We start from the raw sequence: 20,589 nt of genomic DNA, 5'->3' as shown, positions 1-20,589 counted from the left end.
TTTTTGAGACAGAGCCTCACTCTGTCACCCAGGCTGGAGTGCAGAGGTGCGATCTTGGCTCACTGCAACCTCCACCTCCTGAGTTCAAGCGATTCTCCTGCCTCAGCCTCCCAAGTAGCTGGGGCTACAGGTGTGCGCCACCATGCCTGGCTAATTTTTGTACTCTTAGTAGACACGGGGTTTCACCATGTTGATCAGGTTGGTCTAAAACTCCTGACCTCAGGTGATCCACTCGTCTCGGCCTCCCAAAGTGCTGGGATTACAGGTGTGAGCCACCATGCCTGGCCTCAACTCCCATTTTCTTCTATTTATGTATGTATGTATTTATTTTTTGAGTTGGAGTCTAGCTCTGTCACCCATGCTGGAGTGCAGTGGTGTGATCTCAGCTCACTGCAACTTCTGCCTCCCTGGTTTAAGAGATTCTCCTGCCTAAGCCTTCCAAGTAGCTGGGATTACAGGCGTCTGTCACCACACTCAGATAATTTTTTTTTTTTTGTATTTTAGTAGAAATGGGGTTTCACTGTCTTGGCCAGGCTGGTCTTGAACTCCTGACCTCATGATCCACCTGCCTCGGCCTCCCAAAGTGCTGGAATTACAAGTGTGAGCCACCGCACCTGGTCTATTTGCTTCTGTTGATCTGACTTCAGCCAAAATATGATTAAATACATCCTCAGCTTCCTGTGTTCTTGATGTTCTGTCTCGGTTCTCCTGTTAACAGTCCAGTAGTAGGTGCTTTTGATGTCCTGCCTCTCACTCACAGCCAATGGGGCCTATGAGCAGCGGATTTCACCCAGCAGTGTTTCTTGCATCTCATCTCTTGTTTTCGCCCCACACCAAGTCCCTTAACCCGGACTCCCGTGGCCCCTTCCTTTTACTGTGGCAAGAGGCTCCTAATTAACCTTCCTGCTTTTGCTTCCAGAATCAAATTGTAAAGGCAGAACTTCTGCATGGAGTCTTCTGCTCAGAACTCCTCAATGTCCCTGGTCTGAGGCCATCTTCTAAACTCCCAAGCACGGCCTCCTTCCCATCCCATGCCCTGGATGGCGCCCACCTTTTCTGTGGCCCGGCATGGCCCCACATCCCTGTAAACGGACTGTGCTGTGCCTCTTCCTGCTCCCAGAGGACAGTCCCCTGTTTGTGGAGTCCCCCTGTGTGCCAGGAGCTGTGTTCTTCATTCCATACAGACATCCAGTCCCCTCCTGCTGCCCAAATGTAACAATTTTAACCCCAAAATTCATAGTGCACTCAAAAGTCAGAGAGGGAATCCCCAGGTCCCTGAAGCAAAGTCAGCATGGTGAGCAGGACTGGACTGAGAGTCAGGGAGAGGGCTGGAGCCAGGGGCGCACCGTGGGGCGAGGGCCTTGGCGCCAGGCCGGTGGGGAGCTGGAAGGGGGTCCTGCAAAGAGGCGGGGTCTGTAAGAACTGTCCACTCCCTGGCTCAGACAAAGAAGCGTTGCCCATTCAGGGCTGGGGAAGAAGAAGAGCCTCCTGAAAATGTAAAGCAGAGGCTGCCCTCCTGCAGTTGGGGGCCCACACTACTCAGGCACTGTGGGAAGCCCGAGCTGATAAATTAATAAAAAACTTGGGTTAGACCTGCGTGCCTACAATGTGTCGTAGCAGAGGCAACAATGCTGCTGCTGAAAACCTCTTTCCCAAGATAATTTCTCATGAAAAACTTCTAATTGCCGTGGAAATCAAGCAGTCTGAAATAGTGTGCAGAGGCAATGCCCAGAGATCTCACACTGGAGGAACACAGGCAACAGGATGCCTGGAATACCTACATCACGGCCCTGTAGAAGGCAAAAACAAAATGTTATTTAGAAATAACAGAAACATGCGGAAAAAAAAATCTAAACTTTAAAAATAAAAAATGCAGCATTGACAAAAACCTCAGGGCAAGGATTAAACAGGAGGCTATTTGAATGGTGAGCTGATGAACTGGAAATTATTTAAACCCCACAATAGTACTAGCAGGCAGGCAACGATTTCTCCTTGTTAATACAGGAGGACATTGGCATGTGGAGGTAAGAAACTTCCTTAGGGGGTCTGCATTTGCCCTCAGGTCTATGTGACCGAGCAGTGTGCTGAGGCTGGCTCTCACCAGCCTGTGAGAGCCAATTGCGTGCATCTCTTCCCTAGCTCCAGTTTCAGTGACCTAATGTTGGGAGCTTGAAATAGGCTACGGTGGCAGTATTTATACAATAGAAATTGGCAAATGCTACAATCAGATCTTTACTTTTTTTTTTTTTTTTTCAAGAGAGTGTCTGTTGTTAAACTTTTACCAGCATTGGTCTGACCCACCCTCAGACTTTAAATCAGGAGTCACAAGGCTGCCTCCCGCAGGAGACTCAGGACACTCACAAGGCTGAGGCGGGCAGCGTGGGGATCACAGTGCCCTGGTGAGCTGTGTGCCCTGTCTTAGGCGAGCAGCTGCTGTGGAGCTCCAGCTGGCTCTTAGGATTATGTGGGGATGTGCACCCAGTGTCAACAGCTGAGTTTTTAAAGAGAAGCTGCAAGGTCCAGAATTGTATGTGAAATCTCAATTTTAAGATGCTGGTGACCGATTCAAATTTTTTAAAAACATTGCTGTGGCCAAACACAACACATCTGTTGGCTGGATTTGGCCGTGGGCTGTGATTTCCAGCTTTAACCAATAAACTCCATGGCTTTGTGTCATCGCTCCTTCCCCTAAATTCCCTCCTACTTGTCAAGATCTGGCACAAATGAGAGTGGCTCCACGTATCACCCCTAAACCTCCCTCTATATGCTACCTTCTGAACTCTGCACCTCCCTTAAGGAACATACTGACATAGTTTGATATTATTTGTGCATACATTTTTTCTTCTCTGGTAGCCGATAAGTTCCCTGAAGATCAAGACCTATGTCTTGATCATCTTCCTTTCCTTAGAGATGTTTTGCACAGTCCTCTGTGTATAGCAGACATTCGATAAATATTATGCAAATCTTATAACTTAAATCTTATAATTATGGAAACTCAGTAGATGTGAATTTGAATTGCATTTTATACTTGTCTTGAGAATGGCGACTCATCTACTCAGCCAGGAAGACTAAGAGTTTAGATAGGAAATGTCAAAGGCATGTTCGCAATGCTAGAGACACTTCTCATCATTCCCAGGTTTCTGAGATGCTCATGGGAAACCTTTATTTCCTGGGTGTATTGATGCATGTGTTACTCAGGAATGGGGATTCCTGAGTCGAGCTCTGTGGACCAAAGAGTGGGCTTCCTATAGCTGCGGTTGACTGAGGTAAAAAGAATATGGACCATTTTCCTATGTAGTTAAGCTGTTTTTTTTCTTAAAATATAACTTATTAAAACCAAAAACATAATACCTTCTAATATTGGTATTTAAAAGAATGTTTAAATGCCCTTTAATTTTAAAGCATAATGAATTTCAGAGCAAGATTTAAAGGAATATAAGCACTTTCATGCAAATCTCAGATTAAATTTGACAGTTATTACCTTCCCCCCACATTTTCCTATGTTGTTTTAAATAAGGAATATTTGGTTCTTTCACATGTAGTACTACAGCTCTGTAAAGCTGCAGCTCTTTAGCCTTTAAAGTTCCCTGTGATCTTCAAATGTCTTTGGATAATCTCTCTCTGACTTTCTGCTAACTCCAGAAAAGAATTGATTAGTTATCTCTAAATTCCAAGGGTTCCTTTTCTTTCATGGACAGAATTAGCTACATATCTTCTGTTTCCTTAGATAGTATTGTTTTCTGAGCAGGAGAAATTGTGCTTCCAATCAACAACTTCTCTTGTCTTTAGCCTTCCCTTTTGACATCTAGAGATGAGAGTGTTTCTATTTTCCCTCCCAGTCTTCAGTAGGACAAGATTAAAGTCTTCTGCTCTCAGCTGTTTTCTGTTTTCTGCTAAAGAGCTTAGAATTAGAAAAATCCCAAACTTATCAGTACCCTATGTTAAAAACAGACTTAAAACGAGTAGTAAAAGGATGTTAAATACCTGTACAAAAGGTTTCCTTCTCACATTAATCACTGACTTCATTATTTGCCTATTGAAGTGGTGGTCAAAGTGGTGAAAAATAAAAGTGTAGATTTTTTTTTCAAAATTACTTGTAATTGTATTTCAAATATAGGGTCTACTTTGAGCCATTTGATAAATTTCAGTTTAGTCTGAAGATGGGATAGAAACGATCTATGTGTCATTTAACTGTAAATTGAATTTTCTTCCCATAGTTAAGAAATATTTCAATTCTACTAACCACCCAAGTTATCTTGTTTCTAAAGCATTGGAGATTCATGTGCACAACCTTGTAAAGTAGGTAATTCATGTGTTCATTCAATAAATCAACATTGAGGGCCCATTCTGTGCAGGCACTAGTTCGGCAGTGGTGAAGAGGGCAGACATGGATTTAGCTTGTGCAGTGTGTAGGGACATCCTCTCTTTATTTAATATTGTCCTATGGGACAGTCATGGTATAGCTCTAGAAAATTAATAAGTTACTTATTTGATAAGATTGTACACAGTGCACATGAATGGTGGGCAGGTTCAGCCCTAGATAACCTGAGTCCAATCCCTTCCTTTTGACTGATGGGAGATCTGAGGCTCAGAGAGGTGAAGCTGCAGCTTGGACATTGCTTTGATCATACCCTAATCTCAACAGCTGAGCAGCTTTGAGGTGTGATGCATTTGCTTTCCATTGCCAGGAATAAGTGATTCCCTTTGTATCTAAGGCTGATGTTATTAAAGTTTGAAAGAAAACTTTTTCATACTGTATACTTTTTTGTTTGTTTGCTTTTTAAGATGGGGTCTCAGCCTATCTCCCAAGCTGGGGTGCAGTGGCACGATCATAGCTCACCACAGCCTTGAACTCCTGTGCTCAAGCCATTCTCCCACCTCAGCCTCCTGAGTAGCCTGGATCATAGGCACATAGCAGCATGCCCAGCTGATTTTAAAATATTTTTTGTAGAGACAGGGTCTCACTATGTTGCTTAGGCTGGTCTTGAACTCCTGGGCTCAAGCAATCCTCCTGCCTCAGCTTCCCAAAGTGTTGGCATTACAGGCATGAACCACCACCCCAGCCCCATAATGTATACATTAATCATTAGTGTCAGTTCACTCAATCAGCTGAAGGCAGCTATTTCTGCTCTGTTACCCAATGTCTTCTGCTTCACGGAGCTGAACAGATCATCCTTAAAACAGACAAACGCTGGAAATGTGTGGTGGAGGCAAACTTGTCACCATAACTGGGACTTTTGCCTCTGCTCCTCTGGGATAAGCCCTGCATTTTAAACTGGAAGTGTAGGAGGACTCCTTCATCGCAGCTGGAATTGATTATTTTAAAACAATAGAAGTTAAATGTTGAAAGTGTTGGTCATTGATGACATGATTGTCCACTGCTCATCCATCTTCTCTTTATTTAATATGGTCCTATGGGACAGTCATGGTATAGCTCTAGAAAATTAATAAGTTACTTATTTGATAAGATCGTACACAGTACACATGAATGGTGGGCAGTGTCAGCCCTAGATAACTTGAGTCCAATCCCTTCCTTTTGACCGATGGGAGATCTGAGGCTCAGAGAGGTGAAATGAATTCCCAAAGCTCCAACTGGTCATGGGATAATCTCTGACCTCTTGGTTTACCAAGAGGTAGACCAAGAATATTTAAGAGCAATGCCTTAAATATTCCAATCTTGTGACTCTGTTACAGTCTTAGTTGTAGAATTTCAAATTCTCTGATGCTGTGTGTTTATTCACCAAATATGGAAGTGTTAGGTTTTCTTCCGTGCAGGATGCTTTTCCTGCCTCAGCCCATGCCTGGTTTTGCATGCCTTATCTTCACAGAGCATGCGGACAGTCTGCTCCTCAAAGAGGGACTTGCCTGCAGCCATGGCTGTTTCAGAGGCCAAAGGAAAAGGGAAACCGAAAGGTGCCAGGAATTAGCACATGTTGTTTCCTACACGCTCGAAGCGATTGGTTGATGCAGGATCTTTGCGCCTCCTGTTTTTATTCCACAGAGGAATGAATGGTCCCAGGGCAGAAAGGAAAGTTAGAAGGAAAGTTAGAAGTAACACCACCCAGACTCTGGGGGAAAGGGAGGTTGTATGTGCCGATGAGTAAGAAGTGAATGTTTCCCTTATGAAATTGTCAGTCGTGAACCACTTTTGACCTACAAAAATGGTCATTTTATTTATGTATGTATTTATTTATTTATTTATTGAGATGGAGTCTCCCACTGTCACCCAGGCTGGAGTGCAATGGCGTGATCTTGGCTCGCTGCAACCTCCACCAAGCGATTCTCCTGCCTCAGCCTCCAGAGTAGCTAGGATTATAGGCACCCGCCACCACGCCCGGCTATTTTTTTGTATTTTTAGTAGAGACAGGATTTCACTATGTTAGCCAGGCTGGTCTTGAACTCCCTACCTCAAGATCTGCCCACCTCGGCCTCTCAAAGTACTGGGATTACAGGTGTGAGCCATCACGTCATTTTAAATGGCTTAATCTAATATCATTTTCCTTTTCCTCCTTCTCCTACCAAACCTGCACGCACTTGTCTTTCCTTATCATTAAAGCTTTCGGGCTCTTTTTAGAATTTCACACATTTGCTCCTTGAAAGGCACAACCTGATTCGACGTGGGTTTAAAGCGGACACTCAAACATAGCCATCAGCCAGGAAAATACTCCTTTATTCAGCCTCTGCCTGGGGCCCTTTGCTTTGTGGGAAGGCTTGGAAAATCAATAGTTCAGTGCTGTTATTTCCTCATTGCTCTGGCCCAATGATTCAGGTGAATATGCTTAATATAAACATGTCTTGAGAAATTATTCAGCTCTATTCTTGCCTGAGCATGCTGAGATGTGGTGCCTCTATCTTGATGCCCAGGGGAGTCTTATGGTTGGGTCTCTACTACCCCTAGACCTGAATGAGGAACCCTGTGCACCATCAGAAAAGCAGGCTGCCGAGCTGTACTCACCGGGTACCCAAGCCTGTGTGTCATTGGTGGGCAGCAGGCCAGCTGAGAGGAGGGCTATGGGCCATGGAGAGGGGGACAACCCCACTGCACGCTTTTGGGCTACCAGTTCTTAGGATAGCTTTGGATAAGTCTCAAAATCTCCACTGATTGCCTCAGTCCCTTCATCCTTAGAATACAGCGGCCAAGCAAACTTTCCTGACAGCAGAAATCAATGCAAGGTGGGCCATAAAGACCCACAAGGCCTTGTTATGTAAGTAGTTCTTGGTTGTAGAAATGGAAGAGTAGGAAGGACGATTCTGGGTAAGTACTTAGGGTCAACTAGCATGGGGACAGGGGAAGGCAGAGTGAAGTGACAGTTACTGGATGCCACTGCTCTTCTTGTAGCCATTAAGCAGATACAATTAATAAAACCTGGCCTTAAGGAAAGCTCTACCTTTGACTGTGGCTGGACCAGTGGCCCTGAAGTTTCTTCCTGAGTTCCAGAAATGCTGCAATGCCGTCCAAAGCTCACGGCCCTCTCTATCCTTTACCAGTAGAACCAGAACCCAAGACACTGCCTTTTCATTTAACCAACGTATTTATTGAGGACCTGGAATACTCCAAGTCTTATTCTAGGCCAGTGGATTTCAAATGTGGTCTCCAGACCAGCAGCTTCGGCATCACCCAGAAACCTGTGAGCAATGCAAACTCTCAGGCCCCCAGCCTTGCTAAGCCAGAAGCTCTGGGGGTCAGCCCTGCATCTGTGTCTAACAAGCCCACCAGGCGACTCTGACGCAACCCTAAAGACTGAGAATGACTGTTGTAGGCATGGAATACAAACAAATGAACGGGCGTGGCTTCTGTGGCCCTGTTCCTATGCGGTAAGGATCATAAAATGTGCCTGACACACTGTTGCTTAAAAAAAGAAAAAACTTTAACTTTGCCAACCAATGAAAAGGAGGCCACATTTAGGAAATGATGAACTTATGTTTTGATGAAATGTCACCATGTCCTCCAAAACTAGGCCATCTATTAGAAATTCTGGAATTGTTTAGCCATGATGTAGTATTATAATTTTGCTGTGAACGAGTTTAAAATCCCTGATGAAAATATTTCCTTTTTCCCCTGGTTCATAACTACAATCCACATTGGAGTTTTGATATTAGAAAATAATGCTCCATGGTCTTGCTTCCACCTGAAAACAAGGGGTGTAGCTGAACAATTCTTCTATCAGTGCCATCAAGAAATCGTGACCAGTTGTGGGTTGGGTTTTACTCCCTCTCTCCCTTCCCTCCTTCATTCCATCTTACTTTACCTAAAAAACTTAAAATCTGATGAGCTGTCTCTATCCTTAGGCATTCCTCCAAATTTATTTCATACACCTGGTTTCTTTTCTGGAAAAGAAATAATAAAGGAATAGCTTTGCTTTATAAACATTCATTAAAATAAAATGACATTGTGTGGGGACACTTTCTAGATACTGACTTCCTTAATCTCCACAAGCTATGTCTTATGATTATTTCCCTTCGTTCCAAGACTCCAAGGCTTGGAGAGGTAAAGTGACGTTCTGGTAAATGGTAGTAGAGATGGAGCCAATATGTGAACCCAGAAGTCCTGTCTTCCAGCTCCATGAGTGCCCTTTAGGTAACATGTTGTGATTGGCCAAGGGCATATTTTTTGCATGGGCTATTTCACCTTTGTGCAAGGAGAATGGGGTCTGGAGGCTTCTCCAAGGTAGGCTGGGGTTACCTCTGGCCTCCATCCCCTTTCCCTCCTGGGTGCTGCCTCCCGCTCCATCTATCTGGGGTCACTGGTCAAAATATGCGGCCAGAGGGGACTCTGGGGTGAACCACAAGACGACCATGGCATGGAAGGCATTTCAAGTGTCTGCCATCATACGCTGTATGATACTGTCATGGTGGATAGTGTCATTGTACATTTGTCCAAATCCATAGAATGTACACCACCCAGAGTGAGCCCTAGCATCAGCTCTGGACTCTGGGTGGTAACGAGGTGCCTGGGCAGGTTCATCAGTTGTGACAAGTGCACCCCTCTGGGGGCTGTAGATAATGTGGGAACTGTGCTTGCATGTGGGCAGGGGGGCTATGTGGAATCTCTTTGCTTCTGCTCAATTTTGCTGTGAGCCTAAAACCGCACTAAAAATAAAGTCTGTTTTTAAAAATAGGATTTATCCTTAGAGAACAGAAAAAGTGGTTTTTAAGACAAACGTTTTCCTCTTTCATCTGTGTATAGCACATATCATCCTGCTGTTTGGAAATTATTAGAGGAATTTGGATGTCAGTCAGATATCATTTTTAAAAACATCATTGATTTAGTGGACAAAGCACACATTAACTAGGCAAGGAGAAAGGCTAGTCAAACTGACCCATCTAACTGCATGTGGCCATTTAGCTAAGTCAGGGAGAACTGTAGAAAAATGAAAAACAAAAACAAACACCCAACTTCACAATAATAAAACAAATATGGTCAGCAATTCTTTATTCAACACATTGGTCAACTGTCGGAAAAAAGTAATGATGTAGGACATGTTGACAAAAATTGAAGGTAATAAGGGGCTTGTTTAATTTTACTGCATTTCAGTGGGGCTTGAGGTTTTCAGAATGGCCTACGTGTTCACAGGGTGACCTACAGCATTTAGAATCCGGCCCTAAATTACCGCCTGGACACCCCCCACGCCCTCAGGCCCAACCCTGGTGCAGCCCTGTGGGCTGGATCGGAAGGGCCATTTGGAAGTCCATCTGGTTCTTTCAGAAACAGCCTTGTTTGTTTGCCTTTTCAGTGACACTGTTTATTCAAACCTTTTTTTCCCTTTTGAGGGAGAAAGCTTAATTTTTTTTCTTTCTTTCTTTTTTTCATTATCTGCTTTTCTTTATTGCCATTGCAGATGAGAAGAATAAAATCTCAGAAGGCAAAATAAAGGGAGACTTAAAGCTGGGAGAGAAAGGAGAGGAGGGAGGAGGCCGCTGAGCGGCCCTGGGTGGCGGCTGCTGGCACCACACGCATTCCTGGGCAGCCCTGGGCTCCCGACACAGCCTGTGATTTCCTCGCAGGGAGGCCGAGCCCTGAAACCCGCCCGGCGACGTGGGTGGGCCTCTGTGAAGACAGTGTCTCTTCCCATTCAGGAACTGCCCTGGGCCGGCCCCAGGCAAGAGGGATGTTTGTTGTTTAAGTAAATAAACTGGTCAGAGGCTCGGCTGGCTGTGAAGGCTCCGCTCCCTCCCACAAGCCTGGTCCCAACCGGGAAGGGGCCACCAACAGAAAGGAGCCACCCAATGCCACCCACCACGACGCGCCCTTCTCCCCGGCACTGCCAGGGGTGCCGGGTGGCCAGAGGTCAGCGCTTGGTCATTCCAGGCAGCTGAGCTGTCCCTGAGGAGACTGTGACCAGGGCCTTCCCTAGAAATTCCAGGAAACAGAGGAGACCCACGATCCCCCTACTCCCCAGCTCCTGTTCCCCCTTGTTAGTGAGGAGCCTGGGCCCTTAATCTTGTTTTTTCAGATGCTTTGTGGGGTTCTCTTCCTGGCCCACCTGCTGACTAAAACACTTCACAACGGCTCACTTGTGTCTTTTGCATGTGGGCTTGAGTCCAGGGCTACTCAAAGGGCGGTCTGCGGACCAGCAGCATCAGCCTCACCTGGAGCCTTGTTAGAAATGCTGATTCTCAGGCCCTGACCCAGACCTGCGGAAACAGATGCTGTGGAAAGGGGCCCAGCCATCTGCATGGGCAAGTCCTTGGGAGGCGCCGTGCACGCGCAGGCTTGTATAGTGCGAAGCTGGACTGCAGGTTTCTGGAAGCTTGCTTTTATCTCTTCTGTGTACTGTAGGGTCCCTAGAAGCAGAGGACTGTCCAGCAGTCAGCAGGTGCTCAACCCACGTTCACAAAGAACAGGTGACATAAGCGAGAGGTGAGCCATGGATTTGGGTTGGTGTTTTCCTCATTCCTTCCTACAGATTCATCTCTGCCCGGCCCTATGCAGCCCGTCTATCCCCGTGAAGAGCCCTGAGTTTGCACCTCAGTTTTGCCATCTTCTTGCCTTTCCGGAGGGGAATTAAACTCAGAGACAAGATCGAGGATGGAGGGAGGGAAGGACTGTGGGATGTGGAAAACAGCTCTTCTGAGACTGCTTCCAGAATCTTCCCTCTCCACAAATTTCCTTCATCTAGCTTCCTCATACACACCCGCACTCTCTCTCACACCCACACTCTGCCTTTAAACCAAGAGGTTTTTGGAGGTTTGTTTTGTTTTTTTAGAGACAGGGTCTTCTTGCTCTGCTGCCCAGGCTGGAGTGCAGTGGTGTGATCACAGCTCACTGCAACCTCCAACTCCAGGCCTCAAGTAATCCTCCTGCCTCACCCTCTCAAAGTGTAGGGATTACAGGCATGAGCCACTACATCCGGCCTGAACTTAATTTTTTTTTTAATTAAAAACACTAGGAAGAGTCAAACATCCAGATTGCCTCAGCCAACCTGGTTCCCAGTGAATGCCAGAAGCCGCCTGGACAGGGGCTCTTTCAATGCTGTCCTTCTCGTGCTGGGTCTGAACCAGTACCAGGCTGACGTCTGAGATACGCTGACCGCCTCCTGTGTCAGACACTGTGCTGGGCACTGGGGCTCCCAGAGTCAACAAAAAGATTCAGTGTTTACGCTTATGGTGCTTCCATTTTAAATTAAGGAAGACAGATAGTTAAATAATTTCAATAAAATAAAATGTTACAAGTATTAGCAAAGTGTTAAAGTTTCTGTTAGTTACACACCATCTCAACACATCTCTTGCGCTCTTGACTTGTCATTGGTGGAATGTTTGCCTTTGTGATTATCATGTTGACTTCGGATTCTTCTAGCTGGATGTACAGCCTCTGAAGGATGAGGAGGATTTCCTACCGTCTTGGCTTTCTCAGTTCTTAGCCAAGTGCACTTCAGGTGCACGAGTGGTTCTTGCTGGGGGAGACTTTGCCCCCAGCAGACATGTGACGCATCTGGAGACATTTTGGGTTGTCACAACCGGGGGGCATCTGGTGGACAGATTCCAGGGATGTTGCTAGACATCCTCCAACACATAGGGCAGCCCCACAACAAAGAATTACCTGCCCTAAAATGTCTATCGTGCCCTTTTGAGCAGCCTTGGGCTAGAACAAAGAGAGAGAGAAGTTTCTTGAGGAAGACTTGAAGGCAGGGTTCACGTGGGAGACCCAGCATTGGGCAGGGGGTCTGTGCAAGAGTCCATTCCCCTAAGGAAAGCTCTGCAGACACAAGCCCTCTGCATCTACTTGGGATGAGCTGGCCAAGTCATGTGTATCGCTCTGCGAATTTAGCATCGGGGGAGAGTTAAATCCTACAACATTTTCATGCAAGAGTGATTTTAAGCCAGTGTCTCCCAGCCAGGTCCTCTGAAAGGAAATTGTTTTCTAAAGGGAGGGGAACTGAAAATCCCCACTTTTTACTTGAGGGACCTGGAAGAACGTCCATGAGCTGGCCTGCTGCCGCTTCCTGCGCGCATGGCTGGATCTAAGCTGAGGTAGGCGGACCTCGAGGAGCAGGCCTGCCTTGGCCCGAGCATTAGGTTCAAATGACAGGAGAGCTCTGCATTTCTCGCTGTGGGACGCAGGGTGCACAATGGCCGGCCAGGGAGAGAGGGCATTGGCCTTTACTCAGGCTGTGCCGCCGGCCCAGACTCCAGCGGCAAGAACAGTGTCCCGATGCGGGGATGCCTCATGGAAAGGGGTGGTACAGGTGAGGGGAGACCACCTTGGCAGAAGTGGGAGGACAGAGAGGGCCCCCTCTGAGGCAGGCTCCTCCTTCTGTGTCTGAGCGGGGTCTGTTCTGGCTGCCGTAACAGAACACCAGACTGGGTGGCTTAGAAACAACAGAAATGTATTTCTCATCGTTCTGGAGGCTAGGAAGTTCAAGACGGAGGTGCTGGCAAATCTGGTGTCTGGTGAGGGCCCATTATCTGGTTCATAGCCATGTGTCCTCACATGGCTGAAGGGGTGAGGGAACTCTCCAGGGCCTCTTTTATAAAGGCACTAACCCCATTTGTGAGGGTCCCATCCTCATGACCTAATCACCTCCAAATTGCTCCACCTCCAAATAACATCACCTTGCAGGTTAGGATCTGACATACGAATTTTGAGGGGACACAAACTTTGAGTCCTTAGCAGTATCTTTATCCTGCCTTGTCCCACCCTTTCCAGGGGCTTGGGAGGTAAGCCTGTGCCCTCCCTGGGTGCTCAGAGTCTCCTGAGACTCCCATTTGACAAGAGGGTCTTTCTGTGCACCCTGATCCATGGGGCACCCGTGCACACTCTCTCTGTAATCCCTTTAGTTGTGCTGTAAGATGTGCATACGAGAAATACAAATGGCACCTGTTTGTGCACAGGCACCTTGTGAATGGCTGCATAGGGCTCGATCCCAAGCCTACAGGTAACAGAAGAGTACCAGTTATTAACCTGACTTCTCTGTATTTCAAAAAGCAAAGGTCTTTGGAAATAAATAGGCCCGATCTGAACGCAGTTCTGAAAGACTTTGATTACCCCATGTCTCTGCACCTTGGTTTCTGTATCTATAGAATTATTAAAGGATTGAAAGAATCTTCGTGGGGCAGTTAGTACAATGTCTGGTCCAGAGTAGGCGCAATAGGGAAGCTGCTTTTATTATTATTGTTATTATTTCCTAGGCTTCATTCAAGGCTAAGAAAGTCTGAACTGATAAAATAATTTGCAACTGGGCCAGGCGCGGTGGCTCACGCCTGTAATCCCAGCATTTTGGGAGGCTGAGGTGGGCGGGTCACTTGAGGTCAGGAGTTCAAGACCAGCCTGGCCAACATGGTGAAACCCTGTCTCTACTAAAAGTGTAAAACATTAGCCAGTGTGGTGGTGCATGCCTGTAATCCCAGCTACCTAGGAGGCTGAGGCAGGAGAATCACTTGATCCCCAGAGGCAGAGGTGGCAATGAGGTGAGATTGTGCCACTGCACTCCAGCCTGACTGACAGAGTGAGACTCTGTCTCAAAAAAAAAAAAAAAAAAACAACTGGCAAATAGGGTAATTGTAGTTACTCTTCTTTACCTGTAGCTACCTTAAAGCTTCTTAAAACTTTTGGTGGTATTTGTGACAACTAATACATGTAGAAATGAATTAATCAATGCATAAATGCATATATTGCATAAAAGAAAAGGACATAGATAGTTTTTAAATAAATATTTAAAAATAATTTCTCTTGGGCAAACCTCATACTTATTTAGTAACATCTCCTGGGTGAAAATATTGCCAGTGTTCCCACCATTTGGAAAAGTGCTTGGTGAATGAACTAAGATGTTACTGTCACAGATTAGTAGCTGAAAAGGTAGTTTTAGTATTATGCTTTTATGTTTTCAATATTAGCTTTTCAAAACTTTTATTAATTTTGTATTGGCTGTCTTAGAAAAAAAGCACGAGGAGAAATGAAACAGTTTCCCAGATTCTTTGTTGGAATACGTTGGAGCTGTGTGTGTGTGCGCGCGTGTGTGTGTGTGTGTGTGTAAGCATCTCACTCATTCAGATATTCTCTCTCTTGGGCTAACTCTTCTAAAAGTAAGTATGTAAAAACCTTTTTACATTTAGTACCCAGCAGTTGAAAACGTTAAATTCAGCACGGATATAAAGCAATCCAACATTTTCTTATTTCTGAAAATGACCATGTATCTGTTTTCTTATTTATTAATTTGTATACCTATTATTCGTTCTTTAATATTTATTGATGACATTCAAGGTGTAGAAAGATCCTGAGGTTAAATAGGCATGGAGGCTGGTATGGTGTGTAGAAGAAGGTCCTTTTCTTCCAGGAGTTTATGACAGATGAGAGAAAATGTCCCTCTCTCCTTTTCTTTTGAAATATTCCGTCTTGCCCCTGGGATCTAATTAGGAGTGGAGGATGACGTTCTTGAGAAGAAAAGGTTCTGCCCTCCACTTCACTTTTTCCCTTGTAGCTGGTGGCACTCAGATGCCAGAGGGTGGGGAGCTAAGCCATAGACCACTGTGAAGGCCAGACCAATAGCAAGTACAGTGTAGCCACAACTTGGAGGGAGCCTGGGTCCCCACACCATGGGGCTGCTTCTGGGGCTGCACATGCTCAGACATTTCTTGCAAGAGAAATAAACTTTCTTCTTGTTGAAGTCATTGCTGCTTTGGTCCGTGTTTTGGCAGTGAAGCCTGTATGCTAATGACACAGCAGGGCAGGAGTGAGTGCTAAACAGGATGCTGAGACAAGCAGCACCAGAGCCTTCGGGGAGGCCTTGGGGAGAGGCGGCTCTCGGCTCTGTTTCTTCGGCTGGTAGGGGAAAGTAGAGGCCGTTCCAAATGGTTCAAAGAACGCTGCCTGCTTTCAGGCCGCACGGAGGCCAGGCCACCTGGATGGAATGAGGGTACAGAGGGAAAGGCTGGGAAGACGGGGTTTGGGAAACCTGGAATTCCCCGTACAGAGTTTCACATTTGTCCTAGAACCAAGAGGAAGCTGTGGAGTTTTGGAAGCGCATTGGAGGGCAGCTCTGGAGCTGGCAGTTTTCCTGGTGGAGGGAGACCAAAGCTAGTCTGGTCCAGGGGTTTTCCAGCTGCGTTCCACAGAAGCCCTAAGGTCCCGCAGAACCCTCTGGGACACCAGGGAGGGGCTGGGGTGGGGAGGGGGCAGGAGCCCCCGCTCCTCTTCCTAATTCATCCAGAGAATCTCCATTTGATCTGTTTAATGCAGGCTTGGGGCTTCCTCACTTGAAGAAAGGGCATGGGGTGCGGAGTTAAATGTTTTGCAAGCCACCGGGCTGTGATGGGGCAGGGTGGCAGGGGATGGCGGCACTTGCGAAAGCAGCGAGCCAAGCCTGAAGCCTGTGCTCAGTGGAGGAGGCTCCGTGTGCAGCTGTGTGGGTTTCTAGGGTCAGGAGCTCTGGAGTCACCGCCTGCAAGCGCGTGCCGGCTCCCCTGCTAACTAGCTGTGTGACTTTAAGCCTCAGTTTCCTCATCCGTAGAATGCTGAGACGTAGTCCCTTCCTCACGGGGATATGGAGAGGCATAACAAGCTCAGTTGTGTGGTGCTCATAAAATAGCACCTAGCACATATGAACTCCTCAGTCAATGTTGGCTAATATTATTGTTATTGCTGTTATTATTATTATCTGATGAGTGGGAGACGTGCAGTAGATTATTAAGCCAATGTTGACAGGTGGGGAATGAAAGGTGAAAACTGGTTGAGAGTGGCAGTTAGAAATCCAGCTTTCATTGAAAAATCCCCATTGGGAATTAATTCTGGCTATGGGAAGTGAAAGCATAACTGATGTTACGTTGGTGAACTGTTAGCTTTCTTGCAAGACTGAACCGTGATGGAAAAACTACTGTAGCATAGCTCTGCATAATCCAAAATACGCTTAGCACACAACAAAATCTACTGGGAAGTTTTGATGATGTAACGTCAAAAGGAGAGTGACTTTCCTGCGGGTGAGCTCCCTAGGGACAGTCCTTCTCAAGCTGCACCCACATTTCCTTGCTCTGTTTTTCTCCCAGAGGCCATAGGGAGTTGCCTTTTTTTTTTTTTTTGAGACGGAGTCTTGCCCTGTCGTCCAGGCTGGAGTGCAATGGCATGATGTTGGCTCACTGCAACCTCTGCCTCCTGGGTTCAAGGGATTCTCCTGCCTCAGCCTCCCGAGTAGCTGAGATTACAGTTGTATGCCACCAAGTCCAGCTAATTTTTGTATTTTTAGTAGAGACAGGGTTTCACCATGTTGGTCAGGCTGGTCTTGAACTCCTGACCTTGTGATTCACCCGCCTCGGCCTTCCAAAGTGTTGGAATTACAGGCGTGAGCCATTGCGCCCGGCTTTCTTTCTGGCCTGTCTTCATCTGCTTTTCCCAAGAGTCTCCTGACTGCACAGAAGAGCAAAGAGATAAGAAATGTCTCTCCCACCCTCCAAAACACATGCCATGAGCCCTTTGCCATCTTTGCTTTGTTTTAAGCTTGTTACTGTTGGTAACTATAGGGAATGGACAGGGATTCACAGAAGTGATGAGCAGGGAGAGCATTTCAAGTTCCCAGGAAATCCATAAAGACTCTGCTCCGTGTTGCTGGTCTCCGTTGGTGTGCAATAAAGACTACATTTTTATGGGCGGTGTGGGGGTGTGGGGGCATGTATCTTCTCTGACTTCCTACTTAAGTGTTTCGCTGGACTTCTAACTCTTGTCTTAAAAACAGTGCTGCCCAGTTCTGTGTAGCTGGGAACTTGGAGTCAACAATGTATGCTTTAACTCAAGAACCATGAATAAAGCGTACTTTTAAAACTCCATTAGGAACAGCAAGACGAGAAAGGAAGAAATCATCTTTCGGGGAGCAGGTTGTGTAAGGATAATGTGAGATAGAGAAAGTAGAGTGCCTCGTCTCCCGTGCCGTGTTCGCTTCTCCACACAGGATGGGCCTTAGGTCGGAGGAGTGGAACAGAAGACGTGAGAAAACCCTGAGCAGGCGAGGCCACCATGACAGAAGCCACAGCAGGCATCTTGGCTGGACCTGCAGATGAAGTTGATTTAATTATTGCTTGTAATCATGGGGTCATAGAAAACAGACAGAAAGCTAGAAAAGGGCAAATGTCACGGGGTGTGTTTGTGTGTGTGAGAAAGAGAGAGAGAGAGAGAGGGACAGAGAGAGAGAGAGAGAGAGAGAGTGAGTGAGTCGCATGTTGCTGGCTCCCTCCACGAGACTCAGCCAGTCCGGCTGATGCTCCGGCCCTGATGCTATCAGAAGCTGCCCCACTGGAGAATGGGGGTGCACCTGCTCCTGGCTTCCTTCTTCCTCCTCCAGGGTTGCCTTGAGCTAAGCATGTCTGAATCACAACAGAGCATCGGAAGACAATTGAGCATCATAGCTCTTGAAGTCACATCACAAAAAGAACCATTGAAGGAACTAGTGACGCTTAGCTTTGAGAAGAGAGGACCCAGGGAGAAAGAAGCTGCCCTCTCATGCTCCTCCATGTGCCAGTCACTGGGCCATGCACTTTCTACAAATTATCTTGCTTACTTTTCCTAGCAAGCGCATAAAGGAGGGTGAGAGAGCTTCAGAACTCTCATGCTGGTCTTGGGGGTAGGAGGGAATGGTGCTGAAATCCAGCGTGTCTTGCCTTTGCCTCCGTCTGCTCATAGAGAGGAATAGTAGCCACACATAAATATTTGAAGGGCATTCACAGGGAAGGCGGTTTCACTTATCCTTGAAGCTTCAGGGAACAAAGTGAGAAACAAAGGTAGGGGTTTAGGAAGGTAGATGTGTGTTCCTTTACAGAAAATGAATGCTTCCAATAGAGCTGCTTGAAATTAGAGCTGGCCGAATGGGGGAGGAGACAGAATTGAGTTCCCTGCAATGGACTGAGTGTTTGTATCCTCCCAAAATTCATCTGTTGAAACCCTAATCCCAGTGTGATGGTATGAAAAGCTGGGGCCTTTGGGAGGTGATTAGGTCGTGAGGGTGGGGCCCTCATCCATGGGATTAGTGACCCTAGAAGAAGAGGCTAGGGAGCTCTCTGCCCTCATTCTGCCATGTGAGGATATAAGAAGACAGCCATGTGCAACCCAGAAGACAGCCCTCAGCAGAACCTGGCCACCCTAGCACTGACTTCTGGCCCAGACTGTGAAAAACAAGTGTCTGTTGTCTATGAGCCAACCAGTGTGTGGCACTTGTTACACCAAGCCAAGCTGGCGGGGATGCGCCCTGTCTTTTCAGGGGGTATTTTCCCAAGCTGCTGAGGACCAGCGCACAGAGACCAGGGAAGGTCAAGCGTTCTAGGCCCTATTGATTGATTGCCAAAGACTGCCTGCTCCAGGCTGCCCAGCCCTGAGCTTGCTGTGGTCTCTTCACCCCTGAAGAGCCACACGGCAACCCCTTGAATCCTCCTGCTCCTGAGCCCTGGCTCTGTGGCTGGGGAAGGAGTATCTTCCAGTGGTTCCAGTGATTTTGTTTCTGGTCACTGCTCCCTGTACTGGGTAGTCCCTTCCACCCCATCAGAGAGGCTGCCCCTAACCACCCACCAACCACCCCACTAAGCAGCAGCCCACTCCAGCCCCCCAGCGTCTGCACAGCATCCACCACCACCTGAAATGAAATCTTTTCCTTCCTTTCTCTGTTACTGTGTGGATCCCCACACTAGGATGTGAGCCCAGTGAGGGAGGGGCCACATGTGCTTGGCTCACTGCCCTATCCCAGGCACCTAGAACGGGGCCTGGCACACAGTTAGCTCTCGAGAAGGAGGTCGTGGCTTCACGTTGTCCTGCACTGACCTCCCAGCTGTCTGGTTGGCCCCTCCTAGATGTCTGCTAGACATGAGCCTGTCTTCCCCCACCACACCTGGACCTTTCTGCCCCTTTCTGTGTGCCTGAGGCCTGTTCCCTGGCCAGTTGTTCAAGCTGATTCTATGCTTGGCTAAACCAGCCTTTTCTCTTTTTCTTTTTTTCCTCTTCTTTTCTTTTCGATTATTTTCCCTCCCTCCCTCCCCTCCCCTCCTTCCTTCCTTCCTTCCCCTTCCTTCCTTCTTCTCTCCCTTCCCTCCCCCTCCCTTCCTCCTTCTCTCCCCCTCCCTCCCTCCCGCCCTCCTTTCTTTTTCTTTCTTTCCTTCCTTTCTTCCTTCCTTTCTTTTCCTCCCTCCCTCCCTCTCTCTCTCCTTCCTTCCTTGCTTCCTTCCTTTCCCCCTCTCTCCCTTCTTTCTTTTCTTCCTTGCTTTATTTCCCCCTCTTTCTTGCTCTCTTTTGCCTTTCATTTTTTCTCCCCCTCCCTCCCTTCCTCCCTCTCTCCCTCCCTGCCTCTCTTTAGTAAGGTCTCCCTAGTGGCCAGAGGCCCTGGAGGGTGGCCATTCCCACCTGAGAAGACTGCCTGCTTGCCCCCTCTTCCTGCTGTATCCTGCTTTCCCATTGTCTGGACTGTCTCAGCAAGCTCCTGTGCCTTCTGGGAGCCCTGAGCTCCACAGACAGAAGCCATCCAGTGGCTGGTGATGAGGAACCCACATCCAGGAGTGCTTGCCCGTCCCTCGGCAGGAGTCTGCACCACACTGCCATGAGCCCTACTGTGTTTTCCTGGGAGAGTTCTCTACCAAAAACACATGGGAAACTTTTATTTTGGAGCCCGCTGGTTGACTTATTGGCGAGAAGCACTTCACCTGCTAATGTGAACAAAAGAACGAGGACAAGGTTAAGGAGAGGCTTGATGATGTATCAAGAGATTATTGCTGGAATGATCATATTTTTGCAAAAGCAAATCAACATATTTAGCATTTAAAGCCTTGAACATGCTGTGAAAGTCAGGTTTCGTTCCCAAGGGAAGAAAAGAGCTGTTCCCTCTCTGTTCCTAGTGACGTTAGGGTGACCCCAACCTCATATAACCTCGTGGTGATGAGCTAGAGTTCAACGTGGCTTAAACCTTCAATCTGTAATACACAGTGGGCCCACAGAGTTCCCATGGCACGTGTCCTAATATCTGTGCTTGCCTCCCCAGAGTGGGTCTTGTCTGAAAAGCCACATTTATTAAAGTGATTTCTATCAACAATTTAATAATTAGAGAAGTTGTTCTAAGCTGAAGAGGAAATGGTTCACTGCAGCCAATAAATGTTTTCGCAATTTAGTCACTACATGTCTGAGCTTATTTT

At 47.0% G+C, this 20,589-nt stretch overlaps 2 annotated features.

Annotated features, from left to right (window-relative positions):
* Positions 12,639-12,808: an enhancer, noted in NCBI's record as "experimental_110786 CRE fragment used in MPRA reporter constructs". NCBI's record gives its function as "activates a minimal promoter by MPRAs in K562 erythroleukemia cells, with activity observed for both the introgressed and non-introgressed 9:98929273 variant alleles {active_cell/tissue: K562}" and the evidence as "EXISTENCE:reporter gene assay evidence [ECO:0000049][PMID:34662402]".
* Positions 19,784-19,996: a silencer, noted in NCBI's record as "fragment chr9:98922000-98922212 (GRCh37/hg19 assembly coordinates)". NCBI's record gives its function as "represses an EF-1alpha promoter that drives an FKBP-Casp9 reporter gene in an ReSE screen in HepG2 liver carcinoma cells {active_cell/tissue: HepG2}" and the evidence as "EXISTENCE:reporter gene assay evidence [ECO:0000049][PMID:32094911]".

The sequence above is a fragment of the Homo sapiens genome, chromosome 9 (genome assembly GCF_000001405.40).
Source record: "Homo sapiens chromosome 9, GRCh38.p14 Primary Assembly".
NCBI classification, from domain to species: domain Eukaryota; kingdom Metazoa; phylum Chordata; class Mammalia; order Primates; family Hominidae; genus Homo; species Homo sapiens.
The sequence above is the reverse complement of the archived record's forward strand: the minus strand, read 5'-3'. Positions and strand labels throughout refer to the sequence as shown.